Here is a 22068-nt window from a genome sequence, read left to right on the forward strand (position 1 = left end):
AAATTTTTCTAACTTTTCATGGCAAAACTTAAAGCAAAGAGAGTTATAGAATCTTCCAGATATGGAAAGTACTTTAAAGAGCATACACTCCTATCTCTTGTTTATTATTTATTTATTGGTTTTGACATCCAGGATACACACTAGATTACCTAATTTTTAAAACTCATCTTCTACCTTAACTGTCACTAAATTGTCAGCTTTTTAAGGGAGAAGATTCTTTCTTACTCAAGTGTGTTTTTAATCACTGTGAGATTATATTACAGTGAGATTATAGTTCAGCTTCTTGAGGAAGAAGGCTTCATTTTGCACAGCTGCCCTGAATAAATATTTTTTAACTTGATCATTCAGTTGGCAGATGTTTTTTCTCGTTCTCTGTTTTCCAGTTGGTGTATTTGGCTGCCATATTTCCTCAATTCTGACCCCTGCCCTATCATTTATTAATGTATGACTTTGGGCAAGTTATTTAACCTCTCTGTGCCTTAGTTTTCTTTTCTGTAAAATGACACTCAGTAGCATGATGATGATGTTAGCTGTTGTCTTTGTGGGTATTTTTTAACATGATTAATATTTATGTGTCTAGATTAAGTAGATAACACTAATAATAGCTGCCGTATTTTGAGGACTTTCTTAGTACATTTCTGCTGCTATAACAAAATATTAATGCCACAAACTGGGCAACTTATAAACAATAGGAATGTATTTCTGACAGTTGTGGAGGCTAGGAAGCACTGGCAGATTCAGTGTTTGGTGAGGGCTTGTCCTACAGATGACATTTTCTTGCAGTGTCTGTGCAAAAGGGCAGAAGAAAACAAACCCACTACCTCAAGCCATTTTGTAAGGTCTCTAATCCCATCCATGAGGGCTCTGCCCTCCTAACTTAATCACCTTCTAAAGGCTCTACCTTTTAATACCTTCACATTGTCAATTAAGTTGTGCCGCATGTATTTTTGGGGAAATTCACACTGTGCTTATGCTTCCTGTCCTTTCATTTAATAGCCTAAGTTCTATCTGGAAAATACTATGGGAAAACAGAAGTTATTTGAAAGCTCTTGAAAGTAGGACATGTTAACAGTTACAATTAGTAAGTATATACTGTACACATTTTATTATGATAGATTCTTCCATGATTATAAGATAAGTGATTTTTCTTTTTTTTCACTTTTTTTTAAGTTCAGGGGTACATGTGCAGGTTTGTTAAATAGGTAAACTCATGTCATGGGGGTTTGTTGTACAGGTTATTTCATCACCCAGGTATTAAGCCTAGTTCTCATTATCTGTTTTTCCTGATCCTCTCCAACCTCGCACCCTACACTCTCAGGAAGAACCCAGTATCTGTCGTTCCCCTCTATGTGTCCATGTGTTCTCATCATTTAGCTCCCACTTCTAAGTGAAAACAGGTGGTATTTGGTTTTCTGTTCCTGCATTAGTTTGCTGGAGTCCGCCAGCTCCATCCATGTTCCTGCAAAGGACAGGATCTTGGTTTTTTTTTTTATGGCTGCATGGTATTCCACGGTGTGTATGTACCACATTTTCTTTATCCAGTCTACCACTGATGGACATTTAGGGTGATTCCATGTCTTTACTATTGTGAATAGTGCTGGATGAACACACGTGTGCATGTGTCTCTATGATAGAATGATTTATATTTTTTTGGGTATATGTTCAGTAATGGGATTGCTGGGTTGACCGGTAGTTCTGTTTCTAGCTCTTTGAGGAATCTCCACACTGCTTTCCACAATGATTGAACTAATTTACACTTTTACCAACAGTGTATATGTGTTCTTCTTTCTCTGCAACCTCCCCAGCATCTGTTATGTTTTGACTTTTTAATTATAGCCATTCTGACTGGTGTGAGATGATATCTCATTATGGTTTTGATTTGCATCTCTCTAATGATCAGTGAAGTTGAACCTTTTTTCATATGCTTGTTGCCGACATGTATGTCTTGTTTTGAAAAGTATCTGTTCATTTCCTTTGCTCACTTTTTTATGTGGTTGTTTTTTTTTCTTGTAAATTTGTTTGTTTCTTTTAGATGCTGGATATTAGACCTTTGTCAGATGCATAGTTTGCAAACATTTTCTCCCATTCTGTTGATTGTCTGTTTACTCTATTGATAGTGTCTTTTCCTGTGCAGAAGCTCTTTAATTTAATTAGATCCTATTTGTCAATTTTTGCTTTTGTTGCAATTGGATAAGCAATTTTTCAACTGAAACTATAAGAAGGAGTTTTTAGGCTTCCTGGACCCACTGTTCTACAGTATTATATGGAAATCATTGTCCTACAACATAATATTTTTTAAAAAAAACCTTCATGGTACACTTAACAAAATCAGGATACATATGCTGATGTAGCACAGAAGAGTAAATTAATTGGGCATTTAAAGTCTGATGAGTTGCACTGACTCTTGGGTTATCAGGTGGCGACTTAATTATGCTACTAAATGAATTAACACTCCTTAAATGTGGGAAATTCACACTCAGCTTCATCACTCCTGTCAGTGAACTGGTGGCAGTATCCAAAAGAGCAAAGTACATTTCTGAAAAAAATCCAAGTGGTTCATATTAAAGAATAATGAGTATCAGATGCATTAGGGCTCTATCATGTAATGTTGCTAACGTCCCCTATAATATTCACTGAAGACAAACTGGGAAAATACAGAGAAATAGAAAAAAGAAAACTAAAATCACCTACAATTCCACACCCTAAAACAACCATTACTAAGAACTTTATGTACCAATTCATCCCAGCCACAATTATATATATATAAATGCATGAGATTAAAATTGGGGTCATGCTACAGATAAAAATTTGCATTTATCCTATTAAACAAACTCACTGAGAACACCTTCCTAGACAAAATAACTTTTAAGCTTTTGCCTTCTCTTCAGTTACACATGACATATGCTAAGTAACATTATCAGTTCAGGATAGAGGATATAAGTAAAAGAAAGATTGACACTGCCCAGGATAGAGAAACAAGAGTATGAACAATAAATATGTGTGTTATTTCTGAATATAATTTTTTTAGTCATCAATAAATTATTTATGGGGAAGAGTTGAAAAAGGCAGGATTTAAAAATTATTTTTGGAAAAAGTACAGGATCTCAAAAATGCTTCAGAGAGAATTAGTTTAAGTTTACTAGTGGTCTTTTTGGGAGGGCTCAATGAGTACTTATTGTATGGATTAATTTAAGAAGAGCTATACATATAAAAGTATGAACATATTCCCTATAACCTAAATCCTTTCTCTCCCTCATCTAAGACTTATTCCAAAGTCCCATGTTTTTTCTATATTTAAAGCTGCATAGGAATTTTAATTTTTAAAAGTAGAAGTGTGGCAAGGCATGGTGGCTCAAGCCTGTTATCCCAGCACTTTGGGATGCTGAGATGGGTGGATCACCTTGGGTCAGGAGTTTGAGACCAGCCTGACCAACATGGTAAAGTCCTGTCTCTATTAAAAATATAAAAATTAGCCAGGCATGGTGGTGGGCACCTGTAATCCCAGCTACTTGGGAGGCTGAGGCAGGAGAATCGCTTGAACCTGGGAGGCGGAGGTTGCCGTGAGCCAAGGTCACACCATCGCACTCTAACCTGGGCAATAGAGTGAGACTCCATCTCAAAACAAACAAACAAACAAACAAACAGCAAAAAAATAAAAATAAAAGTAGAAGTGTTACGCTGATTACTTTCTTTGTAGACATATATAGAAAATATGGAAGTATACCTAGGTACTGACAGATATACAAAGAATTGGGAGATCTGTGCTTATAGTTCTTGGTGCTGGCTTATATTTTCTGTGATTGAAAGTCTCCTTTAATAAAAGGGGGATGAACAAACCTTTTGTTGCTGAAGGGTTCCTGGAGGCCATCTTCTAGTGAATGCTGCTTTTGGTACCCATTAGAGTTCACCACTGGGCCCATGCATCTGCCAAATACAGCCTGAAAGTTCATCTTTTGATTCCCAATGGCCTCTGTAGCACTGGCTACATCACTTGTGAGGCCCAGCGCAAAATGAAAATGTGGAGCCTCCTATTTAAAAAGCAAGAAAATTAAAATATGAAGCTTTTTCTGTTATTCCACAGTCTTTCCCTCAACCTATCATGGTGTTTTTATTTACTATTTAATGTTGCACATTCTTAGGCATGGAAATACCTGCAGGATGAATGCAGATTCACATAGGGCCTCGCTCTGTGACTAAGCCCTCACGTCACCCACCGTTAAGTTCTCCTACTGCCATCCACTTGCCCAACCCATTCCCTGGCAGGTGGCAGAGAAGGCATGTCAGGCATCTCCCTTTCCCTGTGCCCACTACCCATGCAATCCCATGGTGGCTGGGGACCCCCAAGAGTAGTGCCACCTCTATGCCAAACATGCTAGATCAGAGGCAGGTAAGAGACTCCCTCCTGCCCACCAATACCCATGAACATGCCATGGTGCTGCCAGTCTGAGACAGGAATAGCTGCCACCATGCCTCACCCTGAGATGTCACAGGGAGCAATACAACCTCCTTTTGAGGCTGGAGGTCAGCAAAAATTGTTGGTGAGGACAGGCTGGAAAAGGCCTATGGGACCCAAAGTACAAGGGTACAGGGAAGTGGGGCAGCTGAGAACCCCACCCCAGCAAAGCAGGGAAGTGGGCTGGTTGGTGAGCTGAGGCTCCAAGCACCCTGTGTATACTCTGTTGTCTCATTGGATTTCACTTATAAAACACAAACTCAAAAATAAAATTATTAAGAATTTCAAGGTAGAATATTAAACCTCATGGGGTAAAGGAGTTTTCTGACCACGTATCCTGTGTGACTGAACTGGTTGTACACCACTGAGCAGGCCCTGGGCCTCCAGAACAACTTCTGCCCCTAAAATGAAGAAACTTTTTTTGTTTTGTGGCAGGATGAGAAATACTTGAATATCACTTTTATTTCTTGTATAACAATGCTTCTAAAGTTTAATGTGCATATGAATCATCTGAGATTCTTGTTAAAATGCAGATTCTAATTTAGTAGGTCTGAGGTGGGACCTGAGGTTTTGCATTTCCAAGTTCCCAACTGATGCCAAAGCTGATCTGGAAACCACCTATCCCTTAAAAAGCATTTTGTGGCCCAGCGCAGTGGCTCACGCCTGTAATCCCAGCACTTTGGCAGGCCGAGGCGGGCGGATCACGTGGTCAAGAGATCGAGACCTTCCTGGCCAACATAGTGAAACCCCATCTCTACTAAAAGTACAAAAAATTAGCTGGGCATGGTGGCATGCGCCGGTAGTCCCAGCTACTCAGGAGGCTGAGGTAGGAGAATCACTTGAACCCGGGAGGTGGAGGTTGCAGTGAGCCGACATCGCACCACTGCACTCCAGCCTGGCAACAGAGCGAGACTCCATTTGAAAGAAAAGAAAAAAAAGCATTTTATTTGGAAATAATTATAGACTAACAAGAAGTTGGAAAAATAGTACATAATTTCCATGTATCCTTCACTCAACTCCCAGAGAAGGCATGTCAGGCATCTCCCTTTCCCTGTGCTCACCACCAATGCAAACCCATGGTTTTGATATTGCATTACAGTTCGATTACATATTATACTGTATTACATATAAGATGTAATACATTTTATATGTAATATAAAATATAAAATAAGCATTTTACTGTATTACATATGAGATGTAATACAGTATAATATGTAATCGAACTGTAATGCAATATCAAAACCAAGAAGTTAACATCAGTCCAATACTATTTTTTATCACTCCCCTCTGGGATCCAAGCTCTAATACTGTTAACTACAGACCTGATTCCATTTTCACCATTTTCTACTTGTATTCAATTGTGTGTGTGTGTGTGTGTGTGTAGTTATATGCAATTTTATTCCATGTATAGATTTGTGTAACCACTAGCACAATCAAAATATAGAACTGTTCTATCACCACAGAGGAAATTCTCTTGTGCTGTTGCTTTATTGAGGGTCCCCAAGGATGTATACAAACCTAAGGGTTAAAGATATTACTCTTAACCACTGTGTGATGTTGGCCAAGTGACTTATCATCTCCAGGCCTGTTTTCTTATCTGTAAATTGGTAGTAATTATAGGGCCTAACTTAATGGGTTGTTGGGCATGTAAAATGCAGAGAATAGTGCCTCGCAGAGTGTGTGTTCATTGTCAATTAATAGTATCATTCACATTAGGACTTGGCTGGCTTTGGGTGCAAATTGCACCAAATTTTGCTTCATATCCAGACTATGATCCCAACATATTTTACATTTGACATTTATAGATTTTTAAAGATAAAGGTTCTTTCATTCAGAATTCTGAAATAATTGATATTCCACCTAATTTTACATTAGTAGTAGGATTACTTTTTAAGTTTTAAAAAATTAATTTATAAAGACAAATGCCCAAGATATTTTTTACAACATTATTTATAATGATCAAAAAGCGTGAAAATAATTCGGTTATTCATTTGGAAATATGTTCAGTTCTATACCATGAAAATGAAAGAATGAGGCAATTCTATATATGTTCACTAAGATGCCCCAAGATGTATTAAGTTAAAAATAAACAAATTTTGTAAATAAAAGCAGCCAGACACAAGAAAATACATATGGTATGGTTCTATTTACTTAAACTCTAATAACAGGCAAAGTTATAGTGCTTAATGATGTGTGCTTAGGCAATAAAATTAATAAGAACAACAACAAGTTGATGACTCTAAAAGTCAGGATACTGGAAACCTCTGAGAGAGAGGGTGAGAGGGGGTAGTGATTAGAAGTCCTGAAGAGGGCTGGCAGTACTCTGCTTTTTAACCTGAGTGGTTGTTGCAAGAGGGCTCACTTTGTTGTTTTGTACACTTACCTATGCATATATTAGATTTCACAATAAAAAGTATTTGAAAGCACATTTCATAACTCTGTTAGGCATAGTCTATATATATTTGTAGAAAAATTCACAAAAGATCCACACACACACAAAGACACAACTATGGGCATTTTTTTATTACTTTTGGGTTATGGGAATGTGGGGTAGGGAAAAATTTCACTTTGCATTTTACAATTTGCATTTTGTCCATAATCGTGTTACTTTAAAATACGCCATCAAATATTGTATGTGAATACAGATTACTCCATTTTTATGTGCTTCTGTATTATTTGAATTTTCTTCATAATCACATGTTACTTTAAAAATATTCTTTCAAAATTTGCATATGTATTCATATGTGTGTACATATTTATATATGCTTGGAGGTTTTAGAATAATACTTCAACAGTGGTCACCTCTAAGGGGTGCACCTGGGGATAATGCATTAAGAGAAGGGGGAACATTTTCTTTTCAGACTTCTAATTTGCTTGAATATTTTCTTTTACAATAAACATGCTGATTTTTAATTTACAGCATACACCAAAAGTGGTATATAACATATTTCAGCAGATTTTGTCTTGCAGACAGAATAGATTTGGAGGGGTAAAAATGGGCTCATTTAAAAATGTAGATCCTAGGGGAAGGCTTTATAGGAAAAAATACCCTAGAATGCAAACCTATACTCCTGCCCCAACATACATGCCAGAGTCTCTGATAATGGGCTAACCTGATGAAATCTTTGAAATTAAACCATCAAGGCAGGAATCCTCAACACTAAGTACAGCTCCTGGTCTGTGGAAAGTATTCAAGAATTATTTGTTGAATTTATTGGAAAACAGAGTAGTGTTTAAAAATTTGACCTACTTTTCACTGCTTGTTGAGGCTGGAGGTGTTTTTCTTAGTGTGAGGTTTGAGAGGCATGCAACATGATTGATGAATGAAAGTAGCTAATTTTTGGAGAAAATAAAGTAAAATTCATTTACTTTAAATTTTACTTTCGCCTTTTAGGTCAGTTAGTATTTTCATCTGCTTTTTAAAAGCAGATGATACTTTTCAAGTTGTTGATTAACAGTGATACTCTATCCTAATTATCCTGTGAAGCTTACAGTAAGTGACCTAAAATTCAATGGGAATGACTCAGCCAGACAAGAAAAAGTCACTGGAAGACCAAATCTACTACAGGGAAATAGCACTGGTATTAATCAAAGGTCTAATACTGAAACTCTCTGAGAAATCCAAGTAGATTCTACACTTTGTTGCTGATAATTAGACATTCCCAACAAATAATAATCAATAATATATATTTTTTGGCAGCAGAGGCAGAGATACAGAAGTGAGCTTCTCACCAAAATAGAGTGTCTTTGGAACAATGTCCAGCACTGGTATGACACTGCACTACCCTAAACAGTAGTAACTAGATACAAGTACTGAGTACTTGAAATGTGGCTAGTTTGAATCAAGATGTCTTGTGTCAAATATAAATCAGACATTGAACACCTACTTTGAAAAAGAGATAGTATCAAAATATTAATGTTTTTATATTGATTACGTGTTGAATATTTTTATTCATAAAATATTAATGCTTTTATATTGATTATATGTTGAATGATATTTTGAATATACTGAGATAAAGAGCATTATTAAAGCCAAAAGTGGTTTCTAAAAAATTTATAGTTACCTATATGGCTGAAGGCCAGACATAGTGGCTCACATCCTGTAATCCCAGCACTTTGGGAGTTCAAGGAGGGAGGTTCCCTTGAGGCCAGGAGTTTGAGACCAACCTGGGCAACATTGCAAGACCCCATTTCTACACAAAATTTTTAAAATTAGCTGGGTGTAGTAGCCTGCACCTGTAGTCTTAGCTATTTAGGAGACGGAGGCAGGAGGATCACTTGAGCCCAGGAGTTCAAGGCTGCAGTGAGCTGTGTTTGTGCCACTGTACTCCAGCCTGGGCAACAGATTAAGACCTTGTCTCTAAAAGAAACAACAAGAAAAAAGAAATAAAATTACCTATGTGGCTTATGTTTGTGACTCCTTTATGTTTCTATTAATGCCAGTAAAGAAGATTTGAATAGAAGCAAACCAAGAGTCAGCATTTTAATTTCCCTTACTTTCCAGAAGGGGGAAAAGAATTCCAGCAAGTGGAAATGCTCTGCTCAAAGGCACAAACCTGGTTGGAAAGAAGTGAGGAGTTGAGCTTTCATCTTTTGAGTCTGTGTCTCACGTTCCCTAAGTTACATAGCTGGCCCCTGATGGAAAATTCAAGGCCAGAGAAACAGACTTCCTTAGGACATTTACACATTGGACACCATGTTTCTTTAACCTTTTAAGATACAGTCAGTGATAATTTTAAGAATGTTCTGGGGATTTGCAATAGGATTGAAAGTAGATAGGAGTTAGGGGACTTTAATGTTCTATTTAATACCTCAGTGTTATTTTTAAACCTTGGGCACGTATTACTATTAAAGAAAAACTGGCCTAGGGGTTGGGAAAGCAGATTTAAAAGAAACTGTGGCTTGAAATTCAAATCTGGAGATATTTGAAGTGGCTTTTTCTGCCGTTATTTTCTTTGACATCTCTAAACACCCTCAGCTAATTCTTACTGCTCTCTTTGGGTTTTTTACTTTTTACATTACTAAAGCAAAATCAACTGGTACAAACTAATTTTTGAATCTGCAGCTGTAGCTCAAAAAACCTGTTTTTCCTACTTTTGCAAGCAGCAGACTCCTAAGAATGACTGGTGATTTTGTTTTAAAAGAATTTAAGTCCTGCTTTCTAAAGGGCACTTGCCAACAGAGTAGATGTTTCTATGTGAAGCTATTTGCTACCATCATACTTGAGATTTTTTTGCTTATGGCTTTCAGTGCTGTTACTTCTAAAGGCAGATTCTTGAACACAGGTTCGTTAGCTTCAGAACATACGCAGTCTCCTCATGGTAGCAGCTGTGCTGAGTTCCTGAATGGAGAGATGATTTCCACAGTACATTTTATAGCCACACATCATTCCTGAGGACAATCTAAAACACAAATTATTTTTATTTTTACTCCTTTATCATATAAGAGAAAGAAATACTTAGCTAGTCTGAGTGATAATGTTTATAGCAGCATATTCTATTTTTGTGGCAGTTTCTTTCAAGCACTCTCGCCTAACCTAAGAGGGACAAATGTAGGTTGCCTGTACTTAACAGGACCCTTGGAGTACATATGGATATGGTATAAATTCCTCTTTTTAACTTTTTGTCAGTATTTTCATCTTCTCTTCTTACTTAATCACTTTCAAGGCTTTTCAGCTGCTGAAACAAAAAATAAGCCTGTCCTAGAGGCTGATATCGTCTTCTGGAGCCACCTTTCTGAGAAAAGTGCAAAGGTTCTGAAGGGATTTTTAAATTTGATTTCTTAAAGAGTTATTTTTCACAGTTAGATATCTGAGCTCACCTAGAAGCTGAGTAGCCTCAGTAATCTTGAGTTCCCAAATCTACTTTTATTCATTTCACATTCATGATTGTAAGCATCTATTATGTGCCAGGGTAGGGTTATATCCATTGTAAGTAACCTTGGCAGAGTAAAAAATGCTGCACAGAGGCCTGTGGACCACTCCTAAGGACCTTTGGAGTGGCAGAAAGGAGATGGAGAGGATGAAGCAGACAAGCCTGGACAGCTGAGTGTTCCCACCTCTAGAAATAGTGAAGTACTGCACAGTCATAGCCTGTCTGCCCTTGGGCTTCTGATTGCTGCCTGGGACTTTAAATCCCTGAGCTGAGCTTTCCTGACCTTCGGACCCTTGCTGCCCCCACAGCTCCAGAAGCTGGAGCATTTATCTATAACTCAACACCTGGGCCCCAGTCTCAGCTCTAATACAAACACCAGCTCTGTGACCTCACCTTAGCTTAGAGTAGCCTCTCTTGGTTTCATACTTTGATCTGTAAAACAAAGGAGTGTGACCCTTTCTTTTTTTTCTCTCTCTCTCTTTCAGCACTAACCTGTTAACCATGCTTGAGAGAAGAGGTAGAACCTCATCACAACTACCTTTTGGAAATAGTTTTCCTGTACTAGAATAGGGGGCGTCAGTCAACCTGATGATGTTGTACAGGGAAATTTCGGAGATATGCACGTGCCTAGGCGCTGCCTCCAACCAATTAAACAAAAATTTCTGGGGAGTGGGACCTGGGGATGAGTATTTTTGAAGAGCACACCAACTAGTACACAGCCAGTGTTGAGAACCACAGGTTGTGTAAAAGCATCAGGCCTTGAGAGGGACAGATGTAGATGTAATATCCAGAATTTACTACTTATTAGTTGTAAATCTGTGGACAAGTCACTTAGTCTCTCTGAGCCTTAGTTTCTCTATCTGTAAAATTGGGACCAAATTGTATCTTCCTCAAAGGTAGCCATGTGGCACACAGTAGATACTCAATGAATTGTAATTGAGATGGGTCTATTGCTGTGCTGTCCAATATGATAGCCATTAGCTATACGTGACTATTTAAAAGTTAGATAAAGGTAAAAATTTGGTTCCCCAATTGCACTAGCCACATTTAAAGTGCTCAGCAGCCATATGTGACTAGTGGCTACCATATTGGACAGCAGAGATATCAAATGTTTCCTTCATTGCAGAAAGTTCTAGAGACTAGAAAGTGCTGATCTACATTCTACAGGATCTACTTTACTAAGATCCAAGTTTATTAAGGGAAAATTTATCTTTAACTCTGTTCTAGAAAATCCACTACATTAGCTTTTGTCAGGTAAGTAGCAAGACTTACGGCTTGGGCAGAAAAGTAAAGGAAATCCAGGAATCATCCCTTGTGTGGAGACATTTTTGCTTGTTTCTATATACCTATAAATGAGTTTACCTAGAAGTAAACAAGCAAGTGGGAACATGTAATCGATTCTACAAATAATGATCTTTTCTCCCTTCCCTCCCACCAGTTCTGGGGCTACACTTACCATTTAATCCATTTGTTAAAGTGGAACATTAACTTCTTTCTGCCCTATTTGTTCCTACCACAGGCAGTATACAATGAAGCTGCCGGTATGTGTGTGTGTGTGCGTGAGTGTGTGTGATCAAGAGAAAGGGGTACAAGGTGAAAGAAGGAGCTGGCAATGATAAGGGAAGTCCCTAAATAAGTGTCTGTAACTGAGAAAATAAAAGTCATACATAGAACATGTTTGATGATTTTATTATCTGTAATATTTATTTCAGATATTTTGACAGCTCTTTTATTCAAAAAAACTCCTTAGTATTATTTTGATTTACCCATAGTGGAGACTCTGAAGTCAGATGGTCTGAGTGCAAACCATGCTCCAGTATTTGCTATAGCTAACTGATGTTGGATGGGTTTCTTTACCTTTCTAAGTCTCAGTCTTTCCATTTGCAAAATAGGGATAAATGTTGGTAACCACACCTCATAAGGTTATTGCAAAGATTAAGTGACAGAATACGCATAAACTCTTTAGAATAGAATCTGACACCCGATAAATGCTCAGTGAATTTTTAAAAAATTGTTTAGAAAGGACATTTTATCATCAGCAAACAGATGATATGACACTTTTAACTTCAGCAAGTAGAAGAAAATATACATTCCTCATAGGAATTTTGAAGCTATTTAAAAAACGTAATGCTCTTGTTTCTTTGTCATATCTTTTGGAACGAGTGGGCCTGTTTTTAAAAGAACATTTATAGTTCCTATGTTACATAAATGTTCCACTTGTGCTACTGTACTTGTTTAGTTAAGCACAGGCCTAGCAGCTGGGGAAGTGTCAAAGTCTAAAAAGCAAGGGATTGTTGATTTGAGGTACCCTGTGTTAAAAATTGCTAATATAACTAAGCCGCCTTAAAAACAAGGAAGGTAGTTGTTCTTGATGGAAAAGAGACAACCTCTTAAATTCACTTTATATTTGTTTTGTCTTCCTGCAATAATGTTTCTGTTGGCAAAGTTACTTTATTATTATTTTTTTAAATCTGAGAGCATGATATATCTTTTGGGTTTTTAATTATTTAGATGTTTCACACTCTTTTGTTTTGTTATGCACTGTGACAGTGTGACATGCCTAAAGGACCAAGGACCAGCTCCCCAGTGAGTAGAAAGTGCTGTCATTTATTTTTAGAAAGGAAGCCGTATTGGTTCATATAAGCTGCTTTCCCAGCTGAAATAACATAGCAGATTGGTGCTGTTTGAACACTGCTAATTGCTGAACATTCTTAAACTAGTAAATAGGCCTGATTACCTGGACTCCAAACAGTAAGTCAAACAGACCAGATCACTTTTGATAAGAACACTCTATTAACCTTATATATTCCCATTGGATTATCTTCCAGGGATATGAAATGTTAAGTTATAAATGTCTTCTTTTTTTTTAATTTAGAAAGACTTTAGGAAAAATTGTTTGGGATATTTGAAGGTAAGTTAAAGATCATTATGTCCAATGTATGATTTAGTAGATAATTATCAGGTACTATACCATTAGCTGAGAGGTCAACAGTAAAGATGAACCCATTCAGAACAGAAAGTCCTGATTTACAAGATCTTGTTGTACCCTGCCATGTCTGTTTGGGTAACTGCAAGCAAACAGTAATAACTCTAACAAGGAAACAGTGAGCTTTTAATAAATAAAATGTAACATGAGTTCTTTATTAGACCCTTAAATCTCAAAACTAGAAAGCTTTTTAGAATAAAATTCCACTTCTACTCACCCTTTGAAATATTCACTGGAAACACAACTCTAAGATTCCTTCCATTTTCCAGATTCTAGAGCATTCATGTTAAAAATAAGCTTGAAATATTTTATTTAATAATTTAAAAATTATTTTAATTAAATCTTGCTGATGTGAACCATGTCTGTTCCCTTAAGCCTAGAAATGGAGTCTGGAACACAGCAAAAATGACCAAAATATAGTATCATGTCCAGAGTCAGGAAATGTCAGTTTTAGAGAATTGCCAACTTGCTTTGTGAGCTCACTTAGTTTAAAGGAAGTTTCCTTATCAATAGGAGATATAGGGAGTTTAAACAATTTGATGAGGAAGTTTCCTTATCAATAAAGTATAGGGGCAAACTAGTATTCTGAAGTTTTTTCTTTTCTGGATCAAAAATTCAATAATAAGGTTTGTTTTTATAATATTAAAAATATCTTACTGTTTTCTTGGCTTACTATTGAAAAATAGTAGAAAGAAGAAAAAGGAAACATCTACAGTCCCACCAGTCACCTTTAAAATTATTATATTATCTTCTAGTCTTTTTGTTCTACACTTAAAAGAAATTAGAGTTGAGCTCATACAGCATATTATATATGCTTAACATTATAATGTCAAAAACTTTTTATAAACATTTAAAAATGATTATGTGAATATAAGCATTTATCTTCTTATTGGATATTTTACATAGTATCATTTAAAAAATTAATTAATTTTTTATCTTTATTTTTAGAGATGGTGTCTCACTGTCACCCAGGCTAGAATGCAGTGGTGTGATCATAGCTCACTATAGCCTTGAACTTCAGGGCTCAAGTGATACTCCCACCTCAGCCACCCAAAGCACTAGGATTACAGGTGTGAGCCACCACACCGAGCCCATTTTAGAAAAGTATTATAAGCAATGCTTTTGTGAAAATATTTGTACTTAAGGGTCACTCTTCCTTCTAACTCTAATTAGTGTTTTCTCCACAGGAGAGAGTCCCAGAAGTGGAAATACTAGGTGAAATATATGAATAGTTTAAAGGTTCTTGTGCATTTGCTTTCCAAAAAAGTTAACTGTATTACCATCAAAAATTTATTGCTGCACAGAAAGATGCCCACTTTGCCACAACAAGGACATTGGATAATTTTCATAAAGAATTAAATATATGGTTCTCCTATGCTTGGTCTCTTAAGATTTGAAATTTTAACCAAGTATGAAGACATCAATTCCATATAGTCTATTCCTTTCACACAGAGAAAAGCTTTGTTTCACGATCACAGGCTGTGTGTCTACCAGCTGTTAGTGAACTTTAAGATTGCAGGTTGGCTTAGCACAGATTGTTATGATGACCATACTCTAAAGGTATTTTAAGGATAATAAATTTGTCTGTTTTTTCCAGGCTAGTTAATGGGTACAAACATACAGTTTGATAGAAGAAATACATTCTAATGTTCAGAGTAGAGTGACTATAGTTAACAACAAGTTTTGTTTTTTTTTTTTTTTTTTTTTTTTTGAGACAAAGGTCTCACTCTGTCACCCAGGCTAGAGTGTAATGGTGTGATCTGGGCACACTGTAACCTCTGCCTCCAGGGCTCAAGCGAGTCTCCTACCTCAGCCTCCTGAGTAGCTGGGATTATAGGCACGTGCCACTGCTCCCGGTTAATTTTTGTATTTTTAGTGGAGACGGGATCTCACCATGTTGGCCAGGCTGGTCTCGAACTTCTGAGCTCAAGTTAGTCACCCGCCTCAGCCTCCCAAAGTGCTGGGAATACAGGTGTGAGCCACCGTACCTGGCCAACAATATATTTTATATTTCAAAATTGCTAGAACAGAGGACTTGAAATGTGTCCAACCCACAGAAATTATAAATACTCAAATACCTGACTTAATCACTACTTATTCTATGTGTGTAACAAAATATCACTTGTACTCCATAAATATGTACAAATACTATGTTTCAATATTTTTAAAAAAGTATTTGAGGCAATGTTGGGCTCTATTTTCAGTAACAGATGAATTAGATCTCACTGAACTAACCTTCTGCAGGTAAGAACTATAGACTCTGGGAAATGACATTAATAATATGCAGCAGCTACTTAAAGGTTCAGAAGAGTGAGCAGAAGCATATGGATCTTGACGAGAAATCCATGCTTGGAGGAGGCAAGGGAAATTAAAGAAAATTCTAAAGAGAATTCTCTAAATGGATTTTATGGATTGGAAAACTCCGTGTTATTAAAATGACAATTGTCCTCCCAACCGATACATAGAATCATTTCAATTCCAATCAAAATCCTAGCAAGCATATAAAAAAGAAATTGACTTTAACATTATCAGTGATGTTATGTGGATATCAGGTGTCTCCTGATATTATGTGATGAGAGGGGTACTTCTCTATGCTTTTTTTTTTTTTCCTTGAAAACCCATGGGCCTAGTCTAATCATGAGAAAAACATCAGATAAACCAAACTGGGGGACATTGCACAAAATACGTGATCAATACTCTTCAAGATTGTTAAGGTCATGCATGAAAAACAAGGAAAGGCTGAGAACTGACACAGACCAGGAGATTGGAGAGACAGGATGACTAAATGCAATGTGATATTCTAGATTAGATCTTGGAACAGAAAGAAGACATTCATGGAAAACTGGTGAAATCCAAATAAAGTATTTAGTTTAGTTAATAGTGATAATGCCAATGTTGGTTTCTTAGTTTTGACAGATGTACCACAGTAATGTAAGATAATAATATTAGGAGAAACTAAAACTGGGTGAGGGGTATGTGAGAACTATACCACTTTCACAAATTTTCTGCAAATCTAAAATTATTCCAAAATAAAAAGTTTATTTAAAAAAATTGTTGAGTTTATTCTAAAATTTACGGAAAGGCAAAGGACCTAGAAAATTCAAAACAATTTTGAAAAAAAATGAGGTATTTAGACTTTTTGACATCAGTGTAGTGTGGGAAGTAGAAAACACACTTTTTAAAAATTAAAATAGATTTCCTGATTTCATGACTTATTATACAGCTATAATAATCAAGACCATGTTATCAGCATAAAGATAGAGATATAGCAATGCAACACAATAGAGAGCTCAGAAATAGAGCTTTACTTATATGATCAACTGATTTTCAGCAAAAGCACCAAGGTAATTTGGTGGGGAAAAGGATAATTTTTCTAACAAATGACACTAGAACAATTGAATATCTTTATGGAAAAAATAAACCTTGATCCTTACCTTAGACCCTACACAGAAATTAATGTGGATTGTAAATTTAAATGTAAGGGCTAAAGCTAGAAAATTTAAATGTAAGAGCTAAAGCTAGAAAAAGAATTATAGGAGGAAATATTTGTAGTGTTGGGTTAAACCAGTGGTTCTTGCCAGGGGTGATTTTGTACTGCAAGGGACATTTGGCAATGTCTGGAGACATTTTTGGTTATCACAACTGGAGTGGAAAGGGTGCATTTGCTAGCCAGTGGGTGTGGCCCAAGATGCTGATAAACCTCCCACAATGCACAAGACAGCCCCTGCAACAAAGTTCAGTATGTGCCAAGTTTGAGAAAGCCTAGGTTAAGAAAGGATTTCTTAAATCACAAAAATGACTCTTACAAGAAAACAATCAACAATGGACTTCCCCCAAATTTAAAATTTTATTTTGTGAAAGGTACATTAAGAAAATGAAAAGGCAAGCCACAGACTGGGAGAAAGTATCTGCAAAACACATTTGACCAAAGGCTTGAATTCAGAATATATAAAGAACTCTTACAACCAATAATAAGAAAACAACTTTGGGCAGAGGATTTGAACAGACGCTTCAAAAAAGAACATCTATGTTTGCCCAGTAAGCACATGAAAAGGTACTCAACATCACTAGTTATCAGGGAAATGCAAATTAAAACTAATTTGCATTAATTTAAATTAAATTAATTTAAATTTAAATTAATTACTTTAAATTAAAGAGATACCACTACAAACTCACTAGAATGGCTAAAATTAAAAGCCTGGCAATCTCAAGCATTGACAAAGATGTGGGGCAACTGGAACTTCCTACTTTGCAAGTGGGTCTGCAAAGTGTTCAACTACTCTGGAAAACAACTTGATACTGTCCATAGTAAGCATATGCTAACCATATGACCCAACACTCTCCTATTTTGTAGGTATTTGTCCAAGAGAAATGAAAATATGTGTCCATACAAAGAGTTGTGTGTCAGTGTTTATAACCACATTACTTGTAATGGTGTCTAACGAAACAATCCAATTATCCATCAACTGGGTAACTGATAAACAAATTGTGGTATAATCATACTATGGATTTCTATTTTGCAATAATAGAAATATTGATAACATGGATGAATTTCAAAAACCTTATGTTAAAAGAAATCACAACATTATATTCCATGTGATTCTATTCATAAGAAATTCTGGAAAAGGTAAAACTATAGGCTGAGGCTGGGTGTTAGGGGGAGGGTGGAGGAGGATCAGTGCAAAGAGGAAATTTTTTTGGGTGATGGAAATATTCTATGACTTGATTATGGTGATGGTTACATGACTATATACAATTCTGATAACTCATCAAACCGTATATTTAAAATAACTGAATTTTATGTTAAATTTAACTCAGAAATATACATTGAAAAAGGAATTTGAGACTGAAATTAATAAGACACTATTAAAAGAAGATGAACCAAATAATAAAGGAGAAAAAGTTAATTGTACCTAAAAGTTCAAGATAATTATTGCAGTTGAGCACTAAATTTAGCTTCCAGATTCCTGGCAGATGATACAAAAATGAAAACTGCATGTGCTATATACTTTTTATTATGCCATAAATGGAAAAGTCAGAAACCTGTCAAAAGACTACACATTTTAACAAGCAGAAAGGAGTAATTTTCTGTGAGAATCATCACATAAAGGACATTAAATATCACACTGGGCAATATTTTTCAAAAAACTTTTAAGAAGTTAGAAATATTCTTCATATGGCTGACTCTCATACTGACCATGAATAAACCATTCTATCCTGAGGATCTAAAATAAAGTACATAGCTTCCTGTTGTTTCAACCCTTGGAGCAGCTTCTCAGATGTCAATAACCTGACTAAGATAATTGATGTGAGCTTAAGCACAAAGGAGGCATGGCTGAGCTCCATGGAGAAGGACTGAGGTATGATTTTTAAAATGAGGCTTATAACTGCTGACATTTTTATAAGAGTCAAACTGACCCCAGTGGAGCTCATCCCACACTGCATGGGGTCTATCTGCTTAAACAAGCATTCTGTTGAGTTCCTGATTTTTATATCCTGACAGAGAAGAAATAGCTTTGTCCTGAGAAATTCCATTGGTAAGAATCAATAGTTACCTGCTTCTTCTATCAAACTTTAATATGATTCATGTATAATGTTTTGATTTGAGCTGGTCTGCAGCCTGGTAAGCCTGCCAAGTTGCCTTCAAGATATAAGCTCAGATAATTACATGAGTTGACCTATTGAATTATTTCAGCAAATTTGAATACCGCTGAAATTTGTATGTGGAAAATGAAGATTTGGATCTTGGCATACTCGATATTGGATTGCTATTGATTTCAGAAGGAACAGATCAGCAGGTTCAGTTATGTCGTGTGGTCTCAGACCATTAGCAGAGGAAAGGATTCCTGAATTCCCATCTACTTATTGTTGTCAGGGTCCAGTGCAGAGCATTTACGTATGATAAAGGGGAGGAGGCTTTGGAAATAGTTATATTAAATCCTTTTGGGGGTTAGAATTTGTGTTGTGAGGTGCACATCCCTGTCCACTCCAAACAGCTCCTATATCCAATGCATGACCCAGATCTGGGCAATGAGAATACTGCATACCCCTGCCCACAGTAAGAAGCCATGGAGCAGGGTGGCGAAAAGCCTAGGTTCTGGAGATAGTCTATATGGTAGACATATGACATCGTAGTAACTCGAATAGTCTATATGGTAGACATATGACATCATAGCAGCTCAAAATCTTTTGATCTCCGTATTTTCACAGTTCCCTGCATTATGAACTTCACCTTCCCAAGGCAGCATAGAAACTAAAACCAAAGGCTATGTTTCCAAGTCTCCCCAAAACTAGTGGCCAGTTATGTGGCCTCAGTGAAACCAGTCTGACGCACTGAGGAAGACTTTGACTCAGAAGTGAGATATAGGAAGATCAAGGCTGGTCACAAGGCATCATTTTGCTGACTCCAGAGTGGATTGCAGACTTTAGGATCAGCAGTGGCAGCATCTACATTCAGCCAGTTCTGGAATGTGATACTGAATCCTAAGACAATGCCTCAAAACAGACCAGCTGGGCTTCAAGCTGTCGCTGCAAGGCCATCTCAAGTGTTTCCTCTATGATAACTTTCCTGATTCTGTGAGTCAGTCTCATCCTCCTTTGTGCCCACCTTTAACAGTGATAATTATTTTCATGATATTGATACTTTTATAATGGCTTCTTTGGATACTTTTAAATCTAGAAGCTTGTGTGTGTTTGTAAAACATCAGCACTGAGAATATTATACAAGGGCACTCTGGCACATAATTACCACGGAAACAAATGGAGATGTCAGTTGTTATACATCTATTGTCTATTATTATACAAGTGTAACACTTGTTCATGATGTGTCTTTCTTATAATGGCAATGATTCTCAAACTTCAGTGTACATAATAATCACCTGTAAACCTGTTAAGATGTAAATTACTTGGCTTTACCCACAGAGATTCTGATTCATTTGAGATAGAGTGGGTCCCAGGAATCTACATTTTAATATTTTTTCAGGTGATTTGGATGCACATGGTCCATAGATCACACTTTTATAAACACAGGATTATACCTGAACTCCGTACACATTTTTCATCCTTATTTCTCCTTATTTACTGATGTTAATCCAGTGCCTGGCACATGGTTTACTATTAGTACAATGGCTAAATTTGATCATCACATAAGAAATAGTAAAACAAAAAAAAAGACAGGAATATTGAAAATAGTGATATTTTACATATTCATGTTGCTCAAAAATTTCAGAATGCTTTGGAACCAAAGAAGCAAACTTAATAGTATTTTTCCATACAATGACTCAACAGATTCTCTAAGGGTCAAACTTTTGATTCAGTGGGTTTCCCCCTAAAGTCAGGATTCATTTTCCATGCATGGTCAAACACAACACACTGTATATTGATTTTTGATTCACATATTTACCAGGGGAAACTGTGCCCACAGGTCTGACATGTTTCTTTCTAAAGAGGGTGTCTTTATCTAGAACTTTAATGCTTGGGTTCTGGCAGGGCTTCTCCTACTGCTCTTCCAGCCCTCCTCTCTGTGACACTATCTCTGGGTGTCAGGGGCTTAAGTTTGAGAAAAACAGCATTTGTGAAATAGTACCTTCTAACACCCAATTAGATATTGATGATGTGGAGATAACTTAATCACAGTGCTCCAGATGAAAGCTCAATTATTTCTCCAGCTTCTGCTCTTTGTCTGCCCAAGTTTGTTTGAGTAGCTAGGTAAGATAACAGAGCTAACAGCAGGTGAACATGATTTGGCAAGAGAAGAGAAAGATCAGGAACAAAGATCCATAGCTCAAAGCACTCAGAATAGATGTGTCTACCCACTGATCTCAGTCAAGGAGGCTTTGTACTGCTCATTTCCATCTGTGAGAGTTCTGTCATGCAATGTCCTGTTCAGATGACATCTTTTCCAGGAAGACTTTCTGGGTATTCCCCAACCTGCTCCAGTAGGATCTTGCCATCCTCAGAAACTCTATGCCATAGTTTTCTGGATCTTTCTCTTCTGCCAAACTGTCAGCATTCCAAGGGCAGGGTACCCCAACTGAATAAGGACTCTATAAAAATGCGAATGATCTGCTGTCAAAAGGCCCACGTCTCACTGCTGTAAATGGAAAGACTGGAACAAATATGCTAAAATGTACTATGGGCTTTTGAGAGAGGGTTTTTTTTTTTTTTTTTTTTTTTTCCTTTGCGGGTGGAGGTGAGGAGAGTAGACAGCTTCTGGAAATTGGTGGTATGTCCATGTAATGGAATACTGAATGACAATGAAGATAAGGATCTTCTCAAGGGTTATATATAGGGCAATGATACATTCACCTTTTTTTTTAAATGACTGTAGTGAGGTATATTTTACATCTCATAAAATTCACCTATTTAAAGTGTACATTTTTTGGTTATTTTCCATACATTTTCTGCTTATGTATCAAGTGACAATTTTCTGATTCTTAGTAACTTTAAATTTAAATTTTTTTATATATTTAGGGGATACAAGTGTAGATTTCTTATATGCATATATTGTATAGTGGTAAAGTCTAGATTTTTAGTGTACCCATCACCTGAATAGTGATCATTGTACCTAATAGGTAATTTTTCAACCCTCATCCCCTTGTCTTCATCCCACCTTTTGTAGACTCCAGTGTCTGTTATTCCACTCTGCATGTCCATGTACCCCAGTCCTTAGCTCCCACTTATAAGCAAGACCATGCAGTATTTGACTTTCTGTTTCTGAGTTATTTCACTTAGACTAATGGCCTCCAGTTCCATCC

General features: G+C 36.6%; 1 protein-coding gene and 2 long non-coding RNA genes across 10 annotated transcripts in view, besides 1 other annotated feature; 2 read left to right on the forward strand and 1 right to left on the reverse strand.

The window, feature by feature from the left end:
- Window positions 1–22068, forward strand: part of CAST (calpastatin) — an 813255-nt gene that overhangs the window by 15071 nt on the left and 776116 nt on the right. The gene's annotated exons all lie outside the window — the stretch shown is intronic.
- Window positions 1–22068, forward strand: part of LOC101929710 (uncharacterized) — a 669085-nt gene that overhangs the window by 14499 nt on the left and 632518 nt on the right. The window lies entirely within an intron of this gene.
- LOC105379096 (uncharacterized) overlaps window positions 9767–22068 on the reverse strand; it is an 86202-nt gene continuing 73900 nt past the window's right edge. The window contains exons 3-4 of the long non-coding RNA XR_001742447.2: window positions 11599–11688; window positions 9767–9855 (exon numbers count right to left, since the gene is read on the reverse strand). This is a non-coding gene — a long non-coding RNA (uncharacterized LOC105379096). The remainder of the gene's footprint in view (window positions 9856–11598; window positions 11689–22068) is intronic.
- Window positions 10566–10860: an enhancer, noted in NCBI's record as "tiled region #2569; HepG2 Activating DNase matched - State 5:Enh". NCBI's record gives its function as "activates a minimal TATA promoter and a strong SV40 promoter by Sharpr-MPRA in HepG2 cells {active_cell/tissue: HepG2}" and the evidence as "EXISTENCE:reporter gene assay evidence [ECO:0000049][PMID:27701403]".

The sequence above is a fragment of the Homo sapiens genome, chromosome 5 (genome assembly GCF_000001405.40).
Source record: "Homo sapiens chromosome 5, GRCh38.p14 Primary Assembly".
NCBI classification, from domain to species: Eukaryota; Metazoa; Chordata; class Mammalia; order Primates; family Hominidae; genus Homo; species Homo sapiens.